Source organism: Homo sapiens, chromosome 12, assembly GCF_000001405.40.
Source record: "Homo sapiens chromosome 12, GRCh38.p14 Primary Assembly".
Lineage (NCBI taxonomy): Eukaryota > Metazoa > Chordata > Mammalia > Primates > Hominidae > Homo > Homo sapiens.
In genome coordinates this window covers 78,153,935-78,174,686 of record NC_000012.12, presented here as the reverse complement: position 1 = coordinate 78,174,686, position 20,752 = coordinate 78,153,935, and the positions used below count along the sequence as shown (strand labels likewise).

The 20,752-nt window shown below is 33.0% G+C and overlaps 1 protein-coding gene across 31 annotated transcripts in view; it reads right to left on the bottom strand.

Moving 5' to 3' along the window:
* Positions 1-20,752, bottom strand: part of NAV3 (neuron navigator 3) — a 641,149-nt gene that overhangs the window by 38,324 nt on the left and 582,073 nt on the right. For all 31 annotated transcript variants that reach the window (XM_017020166.3, XM_047429817.1, XM_047429823.1 and 28 more), the window contains 2 exons: positions 15,401-15,484; positions 5,821-5,932 (listed from right to left, as the gene is read on the bottom strand). In XM_017020166.3, coding sequence (XP_016875655.1) covers positions 5,821-5,932; positions 15,401-15,484 — 196 coding nt within the window. The remainder of the gene's footprint in view (positions 1-5,820; positions 5,933-15,400; positions 15,485-20,752) is intronic.

Here is a 20,752-nt window from a genome sequence, read left to right as displayed (position 1 = left end):
AACAGAGGACATATTTAAGACAGTGCAATTCTTCCAATGTACCCCTACTGCCTGCCCATGACTTATTATAGAATAGTAATAGTAATACCAATAACAAATAATAATCAAACTAGGTTTTACAATATGCTTGATATGCCCCCGGAGTACCTAATTTTATTCTTAAAGCAAACTACTGAAATGAGTTTAATTACTAAATGTAACTTTCACATGGTCACATAGCTGAAAAATAGTGGAGCCAGTCTCAGCCTTAGGCTGTTTCTAATATCCATTGTGTTAAAAGCCATGTACGCAGCATATGGTATGGCCTTGCTTAACTTCTAAGAGCAGGCAGTGCTTCTTTAGTTAAGATATTTTGAAGAGAATAGCATTTGATATTTAATCATGTTAAAGGTATCTGTTTCTTTTATACAAGCAACTATAAGATTTATAGTTATTTAAAATAAAACAAACTGAAAATTTTCCTACCTAAAATGCACTAGTATTAAGTATTACTGAGACACTAAGAAAATTTACAAAATTGTGCTTCAAGTCACATTTGCTTTTAGTCCATTTCCGTTAATATACTTATTGGCATCAAGGCAGATTAGTCAAGCAAAAAAATCTCAGTGGAAGTTGTAAGATGTCAAAATTTACTATAAAGCTGACAGTTTCCAAAAAACTAATACCATAAAATCAAGCCTCTTCAATTGACTGATTTACTGAATAGTAAAAATGATCCATGGCAACAAAACTATAACTGGTTGCTTTCAAAACGTATAATAAATGAGTATGTATGGATTGATAGACATGTAATATATGTATTTACCTACATATATATGTGTGTGTGTATATGTGTATCCTCACCTTCATATACATATATATCAATAAGTCCCTTAATTTTTCTACTGAGGCAATCATGCTGAAAAATTTTATAGGAAGAAACACATACAGCTTTTTTTTTTTTATAATCCCTAGAATTCATCTCTTAACATTGTTTTAAAAAGTAATGATGAGAACATTAACTGGTTTTGCATGCCAAAACATTACCAACTTCTAAACCTAAATCAAGGTTTTCATGTAGGAGGTTTTAATTCAACAATAAAGGAATCCGGTATCCTTTAATCAACTATTATGGAAGTCATATAAATGGGCAATAGAAGAATATGTGTAGGTATTTCTTAGTGCTTTAAATTTTTGCTGTGATTGGCCATTAGCTTTTTGAAAAAGAAGTAGCATTTGCTAGCTCGTTCCTAATAATTAACTTTCACAAATAGAAAAGCACAAAGTATTAAAGTATTTCAGAATTTTTATTATATCCAGAATTAATAAATTGTGTTTGACTTCTTTAATACTAAATTTTTAAAAAGATAGTAATCCTAGGTCAAAAGTAGTCCTTGGAAGTATCAGTTACCTTCAATTATGACTGCATTCACCAATAAAGATTAGCAAAGCCATAATATTAATAATATTGTGAAATGAAGGAAATGCATTTTACTGTTCCCTAACAATTTCTTTTTTAGTGCTTGTAAGTATTTAATTCAGTATATGGGGCATCATAAAGTTCAGTAAAGAATGGCTAACCGAATGAATATCAGCAATCTGAATTAATGGAGAGGTCTATTTTTAAACTTAAATTTTCAGGTATGTGTTTGTTCACTCGTCATTTTCCATCTCCCATCCTCTGTGTCACCACTGCCCCAGTTCAAGCTACCAACATAAACTTTACAGCAAGTATAGCTATTGGACTTATTCATCTTCAAACCATTCTATAAACAATAGCTAGAAAAATCTTTTTTAAAAGGCAAACTTCATCATCACTCCCCCACTTAAGACCTTTCAATAACTTCTCACTTTAATAAGAATAGATAAAAAATCCAACTTCTAAATATGGCCTACAATCCTTCAGTAATCTTGTCAGTTCTTAACTCATCAACCGTGTTCTTCTTATTACATGTTTGCTTAGTATTTTCCTTACATTAGTTCCATAAAGGAACTAATTTATTTTCCGCCTCAAAGCTCTTTTGAAATACTCCTCCCTCAGTACTTATAAAGTGATTGACAATTATTCCTTGGATATTCACTTAAATATTACTACCTTGGAATAATCTTCCCTATGTAACCTCCAGTAGGTTCCTTGGTACCCTCCTTCCCTATGGCACCCATTATTGTCCATCTTGGAACTTATAACTGTTTGGGTATACATGTTCAGCTTCACCAATGATCACATACATTCCTTTACCTTCTGCTCTCCCACTAGACTAAAAGTTCTATGGAGACAAAGACCGTATCTATTTTGTTTACCATTATAAATTCCAAACCTTGTATTGCTATACAAGCATATGGCATGTGGTATCAATCAGTACACAGTGTTTAATAAATTTGATTCTAATTTTTCATTCAATATAACTATGTTTGCCTATCACTATGTCTAAAAAACAACTTAGTGCTGACAGAATTTTAATACATGCGTTATCCAACTATATTTGGTATATCTTAAGGAAAAACAATTCCATATTTACACAGAAGTAGTGACTTAGAAAGCAATGGTACATTTTGAAAAATAAAGGTAAAATTTTCTATTACCTTCAACTTTCAAATTTCTTATCACAAACATTATTTTTGCAGTGGATTGTGAGCTCCATGACCACAGGGTAATTTTTTAAATCTTTGTATTTTAAGATCTGATAATGCCTATACTTAATAGCAGGTGTTTAAATATGTTTGTAAACAAAAATATTTTATTATAGACTATAGTCATTTATCAAACTTTGTTAATGAATGTGATGCATTAATTTAGAGGAAATAGAAACACATTCACAAATTGGTGTGTGGTTGTGTGATAGTCAGGCCTGTCTATAAAACTGTTGTGTCATTCCAAATATATCTTTTAAGATCATATGTTAAAAATATATATTACAGAAATATTTTAAGGGCCTCTAAAAGTGAATTTCAATGTGATTTCCAGTATAAATTTATATGCCATACAATTACCTTAATAACCCATGGAAAGACACATAATTAGTCCAACTGACTATTTTTTCCATGTAATGTCAATGGTCAATGTGATAAGAATCACTTTGTGTTCATTAAATTTAATGCTGAGTTTTAATATTACAGAAATACAATCTAACTATCCTATATATATTCAAACCTTTATAACCATGGTTTTTGTTAGTTTTAAAACCTAGCAAATTATTTTTTCATATTTCTTGATCAATTTAGATATTAACTGTTATTTTTTACCTTAAGCTCCACCCCTCCCACATTTCTGAGCAAAAGAATTCCAATTTTTCAATTTCTGTAGATATATTCAGCTACCTGTTGCCTAACATAAAAGGAATCCTTTCAGCAAGTTTCACTTCAGTGACTTGTGCTGTGTTAAAGTAAGGATTAAGGCTTTTTAAATCCCTTCTGGACCTATTTACGACATGAAGATTTAGAACATAAGCTGCTTTATTATAGCTCTAAGATAAGCTTTAAATATGCAGTAATTTTCCATGCATCACATAAATCACTCCCCCACATGGAAAGTTGCTAAAGTCTTGAAAGAAGTAGCCCCTACAGAACTACTTTGTCCTTCAATTTAAGCATATCTCACTTTATATAATTGTTTTCCTAAAATTTAAATTGAAATTCATTTAAAAATTACTTTATTCTTCTTTTAAAAATTCAAATAAACCCCTGTTACATGCAAGACATCATCATGGGCATCTTGATGTCTTTCAAAAGGGTGAAAAAACAAGCTCTACTATTGTAAATCAGGAAAGACATACCTTAAATAAAAGCCCCAAAGTATAATGTAATTTTAAGAAGGGAAGTATTGCTGCTTCCAGAAACATATCACAGGGGGTGTCATTCAATGTAGGGGTCAAGGAAACATATTTAGGTTCACTGCTGCTGCAGTGTCTCGAAAAGTCTTTATGCTGATCAAACAAGGTAGAATATTCCAAATGGAATGAACACAATTCATAAAGAACTTATGAATAATTGAAAACAATTCAGGATAGCTGAAATATGGAATATGCAATGCAACAACAGAACAAGAAGTCTATATGTGCATCATCTGGCACTTAATTGGTTATGAATAAATATTTGTTGAATAAATGAAGCTGGTGAAGAGAGATTATGTCATGCTGAGGAGTCTGTATTCCATTCTAAAGGCAATGAATGGGATACCTGTAGATGTGTTTCTTAATGACTATTCTGGCTTCAGCGTGAAGACTGGTGTAAAGCAGGATAAGATTAAGAAGAGGAAGGCTATTTAGGGGTTTGTGGTCATGGTTCAGGAGAGAGGTGATGGATGGCAAGAGTAAAATCAGAGAAAAGTTAACAGATCCAAGAGATATTTAAGGAATGGGATCAACGGATCTTGGTAATTTATTCAATGAGGAGAGGAGGAGTTATGAAGAATACTTAGATTTCTGGCTAAATGGAAGGATGGTGGTGCTATCTACTGAGGCAAAGAGCACTGAAGGAGCAGCAGGTCTGAGACAGAAGACAAGTGCAAATTTGGAGAAGTTAGGTTTAAGATGCAAAACAGACATCCAAAGATATCCACGTGGAGTTCTCTCTTGGTAGCTGGATATACAGAGCCTGGCCTGGAGACCTAGATTTGACAGTTATTAGCTATTAGCACATTAATAAAAATTACAGCTAGAGTATGAGATGATTTTCTATATATTTTAAATAGGATGCATAGAATCATAATGGAAGAGAGCTTAGGATATCAACAATTAACAAATGGATACAAAAGAGTGAATTTACAAAAGAAATATTGAAAAAATATTTCAAAGGAACAGAAGAAAAACCAAGAATGTATGATGTCACGAACATTAGAAAAACCGGATGTTTCACATAGGAAGAAATGAATATCAGCATCAAATGCTGTTTCCATGTCTGTCTAATACAATAAGAATTATAAACGTTTTACTGAATTTAGTGTCATGTAAGTTTCTGCTGATCCTGGAGAGCATTGTTTTGGTGGAGTGGAGGGAAAAGGAGCTACACTCCAGTGGTCTAAAGATGGCTGAAGACATTGAAAGACTTCATAAAATTTTTCTCAGAATTCTTCTGGAAATGAAAAGAGAGATAATAAGGCATTCATGTTTTAGGACAGGATTTTTTAAGCTGGGAAAGAGCTGAGCTCACTGAAGGCCATTGAAAAGTGTCAGGAAATGAGTAAATAGAACCAATGTAAAGGAAAAAAATGACACGATATTAATAATGAGCATTTCTTCAGTGGTGAACCCAGGGGTAGGGGCAGTGGCAGAAATACCCCTTTCATTGTTTAGAATTGCTTAAGCATAGGAATAATTTAAAACAGAGCTACCTTTCACCCGTTGTTTTTATTGTTTCAAAATTATCTACAGGAAATGTACCTTTTTATAGCCTCCATCCAGGAAAAGTTGTTCCCAATGCCCACTGCTTACTATATCATCATATTGACTATTTCATTTTTAAATACAGATCTAGATTATCATACTCATTAATGGGTTTGTTTTGCCTGAAGTCAGATATGCATGTATTAACCAACCACTCCATCTCCATCTCCACTGAATCAAGTAGAGAGATGTGTATACAACTATAGAACCAAATTTCTTAAGATCAGTTTAAAAATTATCTGATAATGGAAGTCACTGTTCTAAAATTCTAGGATTCTGATCACATTAATACCAACGTAGTATGTATTAATACTACTAGTATGTATTAATACAACTATTAATACAACTAGTATGTATTAATAATGCACAGTGACACTGAGTAAATGCAGTTCTACTGTAATTAATAAATAAAATAGATGTCTATTATATTGGGTGGAAATGAAATGATTTCTAAATATACCTTTGGGAGGATGGTCTGGACCATTCAGTGCTCCCTGAATAGCCGCCTGGGCAGCAGAATTCTGAGCCTTCAGCATTTCAATGGTTTCTCTTAGTTCTATAAGTTCAGATTCCTGTGGAATAAACAGAGTTTGGAAGCTTTAGTACCCGAAAGAAAAATAAAATCTCCCTGCTCATAGTTGAATTAAAAAGGTTTGATTTTATGTAGTAACAACCTCCTGGAAGATTTGGATGCTTAGCTGAACTTGTCAAGCTGTACCTAATAACTTCTTTCTCAGCTAAAGTAAAGGAGGTGGTTTTTTGTTTGTTTGTTTGTTTGTTTTTCTTATTGTCTTATAAAAGAGATATGAATAGTCTTTATTCCTTTCAAAGGTGGCACCCAGAACTCACCAGTACAAAGTAAAGCAGGATATCACACCACTCATTTCAGATAACACACTTACTAATATTACCTATGATTACATTAGATATTTAGATATCACTATTGCACTGTTGCATTGTATTGTATTTATTGTCAACTGCAAACCTGAAGTTTTGTCAAATGAATGATTTCAGATTTTGTTTGAAGTATTTTGTGCCTGCAAAATTGATTATTTGTATTTAAGTGTAAAACCTGGAACTTACCCCTAATTCCTATTAAATGTCATCTTATTAAATTCTGATGCCATATCAAAGTCATGTTACATTCTGATACTTTTTCATTCAGTAAAACTCCTAATGTGGAGACCTAGTCTCACCAAGCCAAAGCAACACAGGAATAAAGTAAATAAAATATATGTATTATACAATTTTTATATAATAGTTAAATTACAAACAAAGCAGCTTACAGATCAAATTTTAATAAAGCATATATTTTCTTTTTGAATTTAGAGTAATTTTAAGATGTCCCAATAAAAATATTTGCACAAATTTGAACTTTCATAATTATTTAAGTGAATTATTTTATCAGAAATAACTCATTTTTGGAAGATAAAATAACTCAAAAAAAGATAGAAAGAAAAAGAACTGAGAATTGTTTCAGTATAGACCATATTTCCATTAGAAGCTCAGTGACAAGGGGTATCTTCTTGGTGGTAATATAATCCTAAAAATCAGATCTTTGTCAGCCTCTTAGAGGGAGAATTCCTTGGTAATGTATTTGTCATTCATCACTGCCTTCAGCATCTTTGGCAGAAAGCCAAAGAATCGGGCCTCGGTTCTTCATTCTCTGGTAAATAATTTCTCTTTACTCAATGTCTCCCAGAATATATATTTTAAAAAGATCATCCACAGCGGCCTTTGCAGAAAATTGCTTCATACATGGGAATATCTGGTGACTATTCTAACCTTAGACACTTTAAAAAAAAAAAAAGATGATGCTAATTGAAGTGATATCCAAGTTTGGAATAGATACCTGGCACCTCATATATCTATTTTCATCGGATACCTGACATTTTCCTGATAGAGAACAGTCACATTTAAAACAAACAACCAGACCTTCTTTATGTACTTTTAGTAGCTTATGAGTGGAAGAATCTCTCATAATGAAAAATCAACAGTAACCGCCTAAATTTATAGATGGGTCTTCAAATACTTGACTGCAATTCATTTCGACTATATTTATTATAAAAGAAGAATATAATATTTGTGGGAAATTTCCAGTGTCATGACAAAAGTCAGACCCAATTCATCATAATGACTCAGTCTCTCCAATTTTTATATTCTGTCCACTGCCAAATTAGCAACAGATTTTACCGAAACTTAATATATTTTCCATTTAAAAATATCCCCCAAGAAATAAAATATTCACTGAAAATTTATTCTGCTCCTACTGGAAATTTATTCAAAAAGAAATAAATGGTACATAGTGGAATCATGGAATGTAAATATTAATTATACAACGTAAATACTAGAATGCATATTAAATTCTAATTAAAATCAGGTTTTTATCCTTAAATTTAAGATCAATAATGCTTGTACTACGGATTAAAATCTGTTAAAACATTTGCCTGTGGCTTTAAATGAAAAAATTGGGAATGAGACCTCATGCCAACAGTGTCAAAAAATTAAGCTTAGCTTTGAGTTAGCTGACTTATTTCAGTGTCAGAACGTTCAGCTTTTCACAAGAAATCTCTTATAAAACCTGTTTTCAAAAAGATAAAATGTAGAACATTCAGGCAATGTTGCTTTTTCAGAATATCATGTTTAATATGAAACAGAAAAATGATCACTTTCTAATATTAATTATCTTTTAAAAACCAATAGCTATTAGCAGGTTAGTTGTTACTCAATGTGGCACAATATATGTAAAAGGAAGAATAACTAGTTAAGAAATATATATGCTATATAACTTGGGAGAATCCTATCTATGAAAAAAATTAGTTCAACCAAATTCATACTGTTATTTCTTTAAAACTTTGAGTATAAGCAAACACCTATAAAATATTCCATAGTCTTTGATTAAAAAGATAGCCAAATTCTACATTGATTGACATAATCTGTTCAAACTTGCACTAGTTATCTTTCCATATTTGCAAAATTCCTTCCTTCTCTCTCATTTCAGTTAATGAGATCTGCTCTCACCTTGTCACTCAAGCCACACCCATCTCTTTTCTCTGAGCTTTCCATATAATTTTTCCCTTTATTTAAACATCCTTCCTCACTGTTAAAAGCCATGGTAAAATGTCTCCACACTTGTGAAACCTGTTTTCCTGTCAGAAAAAAAGTGAAAATGTGCTTTGAGACTATTTAATGTAGTTTGTTTAGTTGTTGATGAATATATTTTTTCGCTTGATTTATGATCTCCATAAATATTGGGATGACTTTGTTGAAATATTCTGGTCTGTGTTAAACAGATGTTTCTCCCCTTGAAAGAATAACATAAAACTTTAACTTTATTGCATACGTATTTTTTTTTTTTGCAGGAGGGTGTCTGATCACCTAGTGAGTGGGGTACCATATAAAAAACATCAAAAACTTTATTATTTATTATAACCAGGAAGTCTTATTTTGGCTAAATCAGTGGAATCACCTCCTTTGGATGAGAACAAAGTCAGGTTTTCCTTTCTCTCTTTCCCAATAGTATTATAGAGATAAACATAAAGAATTTTAAAATAAAAACTTAACTGATACATAGACATTTTTCAATAGTTTATTTCTAGTTTTCATTTTTCTTCTTCATAATTATGGTTAGTTGTTCACATTTATTTTTTAAGATACATTTTCTCAGGTTTCTATAATGCATAGAAATTGTAATGTGGCCTTCAGATGCAACTAATAATTTTTATTTTATTTTTGTCCATAGTGGGGAGTTTGGATGAGGTACATGATTAGAAATGAATTCCCAAGATAGCTAACTATAAAATCATTAGAAATTTTTAAAATATTTTCATACAATTTCTTTATGTTGAAGGGAAACATAGAAGATACTCAAGTTTTGAGAATCCTCATTAATCATTTAGAAAAAAAACTGAAAAATGTATATGCCATCAAGATATGGATTTAAAGTCTACTCTTCCAATTCAGTCATTTCCAGTTTCTTATTCTCATTAAATACTAAAGAGAAGATTGAGGCTGGGATAATTCTGCAAAGGATTTTAGGAATAAGATAATCAGATCATATTTTGTTACTTCACACTTTTCAAAAATGATAGATATTTTAAAACCTGAGAACCAAACTAAGATTTCATTTTCCTCCAGTGAGCTATTCAAGATAATGATGCCCCCAACACCAGCTGAGCTTGTAAAGTTCTAGTTTTCCACGAAAGTTTCTCATGTTAAAGAAGCTAAATTGAGTCAATGTCTCTTTTCACAGTTTTATGCATGTATCTGAGGCTAAACAATTCGTTCAGGTCAGGCTTGAAATGCTTCCAAATAAAATGATCAAATTTTGTGTCAGAATATTCGCCTTTCCTGGTGGCCTTTCCAACCCAGTTTCTTAACTATACCTGATCTCTTTCCAAATTTCTCACTAACAAAGACTTTGTTGAGAATCCCAAAGCTTGGGACAATCTCATCAAGTGTCATCAACTAACTTGACCTTCTAGGCAAGCCTGTTTAAATTTTCCACCACATCTGCTTTTTAGGTCCTCACATTGGCACTAAGTTAATCTCACACTTCCCAGCTCTAGTTTCCTTAAACAGGTCCTCCTTTCCCCACTCCACCATGCATCTGAAGTCTTGCTAGTTGTTCTACTGAAATAACCTGGCCATCCCTATTGCATCTAGTTTCAAATAAATTACATTGACCAAATACCAGTAGTGTAAATAATTTGAAAATTTTAGATTCACATTATTCTATGCCCCAAAGATTAATGGATGCATCATCTGACTCCAGCAATATATTTTTTAAAAACACTTCTAGATGGCAAATATCATAACGTAAATTAGGGAGAGTTAATGTAAAAATCCTATTCAACTAAATTTTTAGTTGCAGCATTATCTATTTTCAAAGATTTGGTTTCAAATTCCCTTATTTTGAAGGTTTCAATTCCTGTTTTGTAGTCACCCAAAAAAATGTTTCAGAGAGGTAACAAATGAGCAAACTACTAGGCTTTATGGTTAGCATAGGAGTCAATATCTGAGCTTCATCACTCATACAAGGGGCTACTTCTCTGCCCTGCTCTGACCTTCTAACAAGAAAAACCCCTCATACCTTAACATATGTTCTAATTGCCTTGGCATGACAGCTACAGGGAACTAATTTGAAAGTCTTTTAAATTTTAAATTCTGAAATATTTAGCTGTGAATATAGCTTTAGTAAATTTGAACACAAGGATTTAGAAGTAGTTCTGTAAAAATGTTACTTATAAAAAATATAGTTTGCTGGATTCCTAGAAGTTGAGCCTTTCTCAACTGGCCTTCTGTGAGAAAATTAAGCTGCACAATGATTTGAGTAGCAATTTCCTTGATTCTGACAAGAGTGGTACATAGCTAGTACCATTCTAGATGGTGAGAAAAGAAGTTATTTCAGCACATATAATGGATGCCTCAGGGCATCAGGTTTAATTTTTTTCATATAATCCTGGTGAAGAAGTGCTGGTGAAGAGAAAACGATCTGAAATCAGGATAAAATTCTTGGTCAAACTACGCCAATATCATAGTCTACTGAGTCCTAGGTTAGGTATAGGGTAATGCCTAGAGATAATTTCACTCCCCAGCAAGCACATTAACAATTCTCTTAATTTTTACCTACTTACAGACTTAGTATTATATAACATGTCTTCTTTTAGCAGCTATTGGGAATACTGCTTAACTTTCAGAAAATGCTGCCAGATTGATCACTATTTTTTATTTTTTATTTTTGTAATTTTTATTTTTTTGAGATGCAGTCTCTCTCTGTCACCCAGGCTGGAGTGCAGTGGCATGATCTCAGCTCAGTGCAACCTTCACCTCCAGGGTTCAAGCAATTCTCCTGCCTCTGCAGATGTTTCCTTTGAGAATGCACATGACATTGTACTGAGTCTAATAGCATGATAATTTTCTGCCTTCTAAGTTATTCATACATGTCTTTTCTTTCTTACCAGGCTATAAGTATATAAAACCAGTGTTCTGCCACACAAATTTGGCAAGAGATTCCGTGTTATTTGGCATCTGGAAATAGGAAAAGTGTTAGGAGTGAATCCCTCTCTATTCAAGGGAGTTATTTTGGTCTATAAATCAAATGACAATTTTGATGTAGTTTCAGGCTATTAATGCCATGTGATTGCTGAAAATCACACTGTGAAGCCCAAAGACTAGAATCTGAGTCTTAATTTAGTTTATCCATTTTTAAAGTATGTAATCAAGAACATGTAACCACCTTGGCCTTTGTTACTTTGTGTTTTAGCTTCCAAACCAGCTTCTCAGTATCCTCATTCTCAGCTTTACTTTTTTCAGTAGTGCTTATCATCACCTGAAATCCTATATGTTTTAATTATATATTATATATATAAATTACATATTTATAAATATGTAATTTATATATATATTATATAATATATATATTTATATATATATTATATATATTATATATATATATTTTTTTTTGAGACAGAGTCTTGCTCTGTTGCCCAGGCTGGAGTGCAGTGGCATGACCTCGGCTTACTGCAACCTCCACCTCCCAGGTTCAAGTGATTCTCCTGCCTCAACCTCCTGAATAGCTGGGACTACAGGTGCCCACCACCAGGCCTGGCTAATTTTTGTTTCTAGTAGAGATGGGGTTTCACTATGTTGGCCAGGCTGGTCTTGAACTCCTGATCTCAGGGAGTCCACCTGCCTTGGCCTTTCAAAGTGCTAGGATTACACGTGTGAGTCACCACACCTGGCCTGTTTTAATTATATTTTTATTATCATCTGTGACCTCCTAAAATATAAACTCCATGATAAAGAGATACATATATATGAGATATATATGAGAAATATAAACTCCATGAGGAATATTACATACATGTATAATATGCTTTTAGAGTTCTAGTAGATAGGTATGTCTATAGATATAGACCTATATCTATCATTCTATATCTATATTGTCTGTACTGTTTTGTCATTAGAAGAGCACAAATTCAATATAAACTTGATGAATGACTAAATAGACAAATGAAACTTATAACTTGGGGAAGGGAGTTTAAGAATCTCTGCTCTATACTTCACAAGCCTTTTCTCAGGATTGTTGAATCACCAGAGAGCAATATACCCTTTTATCTCAGCTCCCTGAAGAAATGCCTTTAGTGAAATATGATTAAATGTTATGCCCTTAGCTTTTAGAGAAATGTCTATTTGAACAGTGATTTTGTCTTTTGTTATTCCATGACCCCAATTTAAAAACCTTGGCAATAAATTCGTCCTTGAATTTAGTGCCAAAGAGTTTTCTCCTCAGTCTAAATTATGCTCTCCTGGTCAGAAAATGAGAATAAAACACACCTAACAATCTCCCTTTGTACTATAGCTTCCTTGAAATTCAATTCATTTCAGTGCCTTGCAGTAGTAATTATCTAGGCTGAGGTATATTGTTATATACATTATTCTACTGGTTTTAATTAGATTCTGTCTTTGAATTATACCATTTCACATTGCAAATAATTTTATAGGCTTTTAAATATCACTTTGAGAATAGGCAAGTTATAATCTCAAATTAATAAACTAGTTAACCATGATTGTTGTGTGTATACAGTTTGCAATTCAAAAAGAAGTGATTTTATTTTCAGTTAAAAAAGTGATAAGGACAATATGAGACATTCTGATATCTTCTGAGAAAATTTTATAATTTTGGCAATGTTATTTTAAGGATAATGTAGACACATTATAAAATCTCTTATGTTATAGAAATTATTTTTAAATATTCAGGCATTAATCATAGGCATTATACATTAACATACCTCTACATTTTTTTCTATATGTATATGAGAAAATTCTCTGTATGTTTCTATGAGAAAATTCACTTACAGATATAACAGAGTTCAAGAAAATATTGGGTGGAGGACAAAAATTCTATTAATTTTGACTTATTAAAGATATTGAGACTTAAATTCTAACACTCATTTCCAACAATATGCTTGGTATATGCCCAGTGAGGAATTTGGTGTTATCTTATAATTTTCAAGGGAAAAAGAGAAATGTAAAGGAAGGTAATATTTTTTGGTAGCCCCTAGCATGTGACATGATAACAGTATCTGATTTACTCCTCATGGTGATCCTACAAGGTAGTCATTATCATCCCCACTTTTAAGAAGGTGAATTTGAGGTTCAAGAAAGGTTAGATAAACTTGCTCAAGATTACCCAGCTTTTAACAGACATAGCCAGAATTCTCATTCAAGAATACTGGGGCCCAGTGTTTTTATTCTTTCCCGTCAGCTGCTCTAAAAAGCCTTCTAATTCTATTTGCTGGGTTCTTATATTACATAGTGAAGTGACAAGCTGCAGCAAAAAAGAAAGAGAGGGAGACAGAGGGGGAAAAGAAGGAAGAAAGGGTGTAAGGGAGGAGAAAGGAAGGATAGAAAAGAGGCAGGAAGGAAGGAAAGAAAAGGAAAAAGGAAGGAAGGGAGGGAAGGAGGGAGGGAGGGAGGAAAGAAAGGAAAATTTATGTTTCAAAAGGAGTTTGTTAGCTGTGCTAGAACAGATTTTCCAGGAATGGATAATATTCTCTCTCACGGGCAGGGTATACGGAGAATATGAGAGAGAATACAATGTGCTAATAATACTTGGCAATTATAAGAATATTCGATTTACTCTTTTGATTTCATTGAACTATTCATTCTGTTTTAAAAATAAACTTTTGTAAAGTGACAAAATTTGGTAATACATACTACTTTTGTAAAGCTAATCACATAACTTACAGAATCTAAAGACAAAACTGAAGCCATTCCTATGGATAGATAGAGGAACGCATTCTTGAAAATACCCAAAACTTTTGATATAATGGGTCTCTTTGAGAATTAGATGAAAGCTCTGGACACCTGATCATTTATGCACATTTACAGTTTTCATACACACACACACACACACACGCACGCACACACACACACACACACACTCCATAGAATTCTATAGGTTTCACCTATCTCTGATACCTATCCAAGGAAGTTAAGGCCACTGGACTAACAGCAGAGAAGTAAGCTAACTGGTCATCACAGGAAAGGTGACCAGGCTTTCTATGCAGTATGGACCTTTTTAATACATTTGTCTTCGTGAACTAAATTCTCCGTTCCTTTCTTTTTGGTATACCTTCTTTCATACCATAAAATCCTTTAGGTTCATTTTAAGTATTTTGATATAACAAATGACTTTTCTTCAAAGGTGATATCCCTAGATGGCAACTAGTTCTTGTTATTTCAAAATTACACAGGATTGGCCTTTGTTTCATAGCTGCTGTAACCTGAAGTCCCTTACTTGGCAGAGTCCCAGGCATCCTTCCTGTGTGTCTTAGCCTACAGCCATGCCCTATAGCTGGATTTAGTGACCATGTATTTGTGAAAGTTCTTATCAAAGTGTGATTCTTGTCAACTGCATAACAGTTTGCCCCCAGAATATTCTCTTATGTGACTGTTTCTCTTTCTTAACATTCAGTATTCTTTTACTAGTTCCATCCAGAAGTAAATTAATAGACTGCCCAGCAAGGATTTTGTTTGCCTTTGTGTGTTCCAATATGGAGTAAACTGATAAAATCTTTAAATTAAAATCTGAAAAGAAAGGTATTATCATTGTTTTAATTTAGTATAGAATTGAATATTATTTTATTATTATTATTCTTTTTTTTGTTCTGTCTCCCAGGCTGGAGTGCAGTGGTGTGATCTTGGCTCACTGCGTCCTCTGCCTCCTGGGTTCAAGTGATTCTCCTGCCTCAGCCTCCTGCGTAGCTGGGATTACAGGTACCCGCCACCATGCCCAGCTAATTTTTTGTGTGTGTTTTTAGTAGAGATGGGATTTTACCACGTTGGCCAGGCTGGTCTCGAACTCCTGACCTTAAGTGATCCACCCACCTTGGTCTCCCAAAGTGGTGAGATTACAGGCATGAGCCTCTGCACTCAGCCTGGAATATTATTTTTAAGGAGCTTCAGGTATTATTTAAGAATCCTATGCAATTTGCTGTCTTCTTTCAGTCTCCAGTGGCAATTTCTGAACATACCTTTTGTTCCGCTGTCATAGTTAGACTTTGCAATCGGCCAGTCATATTCCCTAAGCTCTTTTCAAAAGCTGCTACAAGGTGAGCCTGTGAACAGAATGGAAGAAACATAGTTTAAATGTCAGAATCTTATGTGGATGGATGAAAAGCCTTCATTTTACAAAATGCTTAATTTCATGTGTTCCAACTCTTTAAATACTATGACTATCATAGTTAGCTCTGACTGGTGACTCTTCTTTAACACACATTTTCATTCATCTTTTCTAAACTTTGTCTTCTTAAAATCAGTGTTTCAGTCTCCTGGCATTTAATGTGAGTTTAACTTCTGAAAGAAGATGGTATTTTGCAAGTAATAACTCCTTCTGACTTGCACATCATGTAGAGATTTGACACTCAAAATGCCGAATATAAAGTTCTGATCTGCCAAGATTTTTAGACTTAAAGCCCAAAAAGAGGTCACTGAAATGGTCAATGGACAAATATTCCTCATTTTTATACTTTCATGATGACCTTTGCAGATATTGTTAGCTGCTCTATTGTAATGATACGCTCCATCAAGTGTCAGACATCTGCTGACAGCTAGAACATTATCTTTACTCTTTTTCTACTTACAAAGAATTGAATTGAAAAGAGTTATCTTTACTTTCCAAACTCTTTTCAATAAAAGGGCTTTTCTACTTCATATTCCCTTCAATGAAGGAAATACAGGTAAGCCAGTTAGAAATAATATTCCATCACATTTTATTTCACAGTAAGCTTTTGTGGCTTTCAGGTTTTGTTTTAAATATTAGAGAATTATACATATTGTAGTACATAACTATAACTCTTAAGATTAAGAAGTATTTGACGATTTTATTAAAGCTCAAAAATAGGCCAGTTTCCATTTGCATGCCCTTATGCAACAACTTGAACCCAAAATGTTAAAATGAAGAGGCACTTCAATCTCTCACCACGGCCTGAGGTAGAACTGCAAGTACATTATCTCAAACTTATAAAATTTTATTGTGTCCCTAAAAGGATATAAGGATTTAATATTTTGCAAACGAAGTCTATAATAAACTATACCTATATATGGGGCAAAATTTGGAAATCCTTGGCCAAAAATGAATTTCTTTTTGAAAGACATGAATAAGATGACTTAAATAAAATATATCTCCATGTACTTATAGCAGAGTGGAAATGCTGAGGCACCTACTATCAAATGGATCACAAAAATACAAAGAATTAAAGCTTATTACTTAATAACGGAAATATATTCCATTATTGGTAACAGTTAGAATGTACATGTTCCTTCCATTAGCATTATGATACAAAGGTGCATGTTCCTAGCTCTGAATTCATCCTGGGATGCCTTTCTTTACCTGACACTGCAATATGGAGAAAAACAATTTGTAGGGAATACATCTACTAAAGATTAATCTATCAGAACAACTCTTTATTATCTTTTTCCATTCCTTCCCTCTTCCTTCTTTTTCTCCTCCCCCTCTTCTCTCTCTCTCTCTCACACAAACACACCCACTCTCCACATACCCTTACCCTTGAGATTTATACACCAAATTTGTTAGCAGATTTAATTGGATAAATACCACTAAAAAAAAGTATCATAGTTTAAAAAATTTTCAATGACAAGCAAGGAATGTGATGATATCAGACCTAGTAACTGAAAAATTAGCATAAGGCTATGCTCATTTTTTCCTATATTTTAACTTTTAATTATTTATTTTATTCTTTTACTCAGTGTCTTGCTGCCACCCAGGCTGGAGTGCAGTGCCACAACCCTAGTTCACTGCAGGCTTAAACTCCTGGGCTAAAGTGATCCTCTTGCCTCAGCCTCCCAAGTAGCAAGAACTATAGGCATGTACCAACATGCCCAGCTACTTTTTTTTTTTTTTTTTCATTTTCTGTAGAGACAGTGCCTCACCCTGTTGCCTGGGTTACTCTCCAACTCCTAGCCTCAAGTAATTCTTCCCACCTTGGCCCCGCAAAGTGTTGGCTGGGATTATAGGTGTGAGCCACCACACCTGAACTTTACCTTTTCAACTGTGGAAAAATCCACACATATATAAAAGTGAACAAAATGAAAACAGCCCCCTGACTTATCACATAGTGAACATTCATGCATTCACCAGCCAAGTCAAGAAATAGGACATTTCAAGAACCAAGAAGCTCTTCTTTGTCCCTCTCTTATTATTCCCTCTTCCTTCCCCAAAGATAACCTCTACATAACTTCTGTGGTAATTATTTTCTTGCTTTTCTTTATAGTTTTTCCTACCCAAGCTTACACTTTAAAGCACTATGTTTAGATATGCCTGTTTTAAAAACCACCCAAGTGTAATCAAATGGCATGATTCTTTTGTGGTTTTCTTTTGCTTTACATGGGTTTTGAGATTCATCCATGTGGTATGTAGCATAAGTTAGTTTTTACTGTATAGTATTCATATATGTGAATTTAAAATATATATATATGCCCATGATGGTCACTTCAGTTTAACCTGTTAGAAATATTCCCACTATGCCCATAAAATTGGTTACTAAAACCTAAAACTAAAATTGTGTGTTTTCTTTTAAAATAAGGAAAATTATGGCAGAAACCCTTTATTAGCACTTACTAAATGAAATGTAAGATTTTACTCAATATTTCCATTTTAATTCTCCTTATAGTGGAGAAATGTAAGGTTTAATCATTCTACTATGAATCCTTAAATGTGAAACTTGAAGAAAATTACTCTCCTTTACCCTTTGTGTATACTTTATCAATTTAATATGAATTAAAGTTTGACAAAGAAATCGGGATTGTAAAGAGTATGCTGTATAAACTATATTACTCACATTTTCTAGCTATAAGTAACCACAAAATGTTTATGATTAGAATGGCAGTTTGTAATTATGCACAAAAAAACTTATAACTGGTTACTAAAGAACATTTTGAGTCGTGTTGTTTTCAATGAAATGTATGTTATGATTATGTTAGTGAAAAACACCTACAACCATCTGATCTTCGACAAACCTGACAAAAACAAGCAATGGGGAAACTGAAAAAACAATTAATAAATGGTGCTGGTAGAACTGACTAGCCATATACAGAAAATTAAAACTGGACCACTTCCTTATACCTTATACAAAAATTAACCCAAGATGGATTAAAGACTTACAAGTAAAATCCAAAAACTATAAAAACCCTAGAACAAAATCTGGGCAATATTATTCAAGACATAGGTAAGGGCAAAGATTTTATGACAAAAACTCCAAAAGCAATTGCAACAAAAGCAAAAGTTGACAAATAGGATCTAATTAAAGACCTTCAGCATAGCAAAAGAAACTATCATCAGAGTGAACAGACAATCTGCAGAATGGGAGAACATTTGTGGAATCTATCCATTTGACAAAGGTCTAATATCTAGAGTCTACAAGGAACTTCAACAAATGCGCAAGTAAAAAACAAACTTCCCCATTAAAAAGTGGGCAAAGACATGAATAGACAGGATATGAATAGACACTTACAAGAAGACAGTCATGCAGCCAACAAACATATAAAAAAAAGGGTAACATCAAAACCACAATGAGATACCATCTCACAGCAGTCAGAATGGTGATTATTAAAGTCAAGAAATAACAGGTGCTGCAGAGGTTTCAGAGAAAAAGGAATGCTTTTACACTGTTGGTGGGAGAGTAAATTAGTTCAACCAATGTGGAAGACAGTGTGATGATTCCTCAAAGATCTGGAAGCAGAAATTGACCCAGTAATCCCATTACTGGGTATATACCCAAAGGAATATAAATAATTCTATTATAAAGATACCTGCATGCATTATGTTCACTGCAGCACTAGTCACAATAGCAAAGACATGAAATCAACCCAAATGCCAATGATAAACTGGATAAAGAAAATGTGGTACATATACACCATGGAATACTATGCAGCTATAAAAAGGAATGAGGTCATGTCCTTTGGAGGGACATGGATGGAGCTGGAAGCCATTATCCTCAGCAAACTAACACAGGAAGAGAAAACCAAACACCACTTCTTCTCACTTATAAGTGGGAGTAGAACGATGAGAACACGTGGGCACATGGTGGGGAACAACACACACTAGGGCCTGTCAGTGGGAGTTAGGGGAGGGAGAGAATCAGGAAGAATAGCTAATGGATGGTGGGCTTAATATCTAGGCGATGAGTTGATCTGTGCAGCAAATCACTATGGCATATGTTGACCCATGTAACAAACCTGCATATCCTGCCCATGTACGCCAGAACTTAAAAGTTGAAGAAAAAAAATATTGTCTTAAATTTATCTCACCTTGGTTTAGTTTATCAGATTAACATTGCTACTTTAGAAGTTATGAGAGGCTAAATTTCTCACTCAATAGGGTAAATGGAAAAGGAGGCAAATAAGGGAAAATTTTTCTACTAATGATAATCTTTATCACCTTAATGAAGAGAAAATGGAAAGTAAAACTGATTAAACTTATAGGGTATCACATCTTGTCTGAGAGACTTGATAAAATGACTTTTAAAAAATATGGATTTTCAGGGGGGTTGTTAATGACAGTTTATTTGGTTCTGATTTTTCCTTTAGCAGTTGCATAATTTTAAGGTCAGAGTAAAATTGTATTAATATGATGATAAATATCCCCTGACTTGTGTTAGGTGAAGTCTATAAAGGTAATAAAATAGACAAGACTGAGTATTAGTAAAGGGAATATCATTTCAATCCATACTCTCTTTGGTTTTGGAATCATACAATGTATTAGGCTGGTGCAAAAGTAATCTGAATAGATATGTAAAGAGAATTACTATGATGCCACACAACAAGATGAAATATCATTATACATAACGTCTACATTTTATTTCTTCATATAGATTACAGAGACAGCCCACTGACAAATTAAAAACACTCTAGGCATATATATATATACACACATATATTTATATATTATATAGTAATATATTACTATATAATATATACTATATATATACTATATATTATATAGTAATATATAGTAGTATATATAGTAATATATACTATATATTATATAGTAATATATAAATATATAGGTGCATATATAGGCATATATGTATACCTAGAGTATATATAATATAGTATTTTATATATGTATGTTATGAAGGTATATATATATATACATATATACACACACACACATATATGCCTAGAGCATTTTATTATTTATATGGGAAAATATTTAGTATATCATGTATAAATATATAGTATATTATGTATAAATATAAAACATATATTATATGTAATATATATTTACCCATATAAACTTTATATATATTTAAGACTTTATGTTTTAAAATTAGTAGTTAGTTGAACCAAGAATGATTCTGCAACAT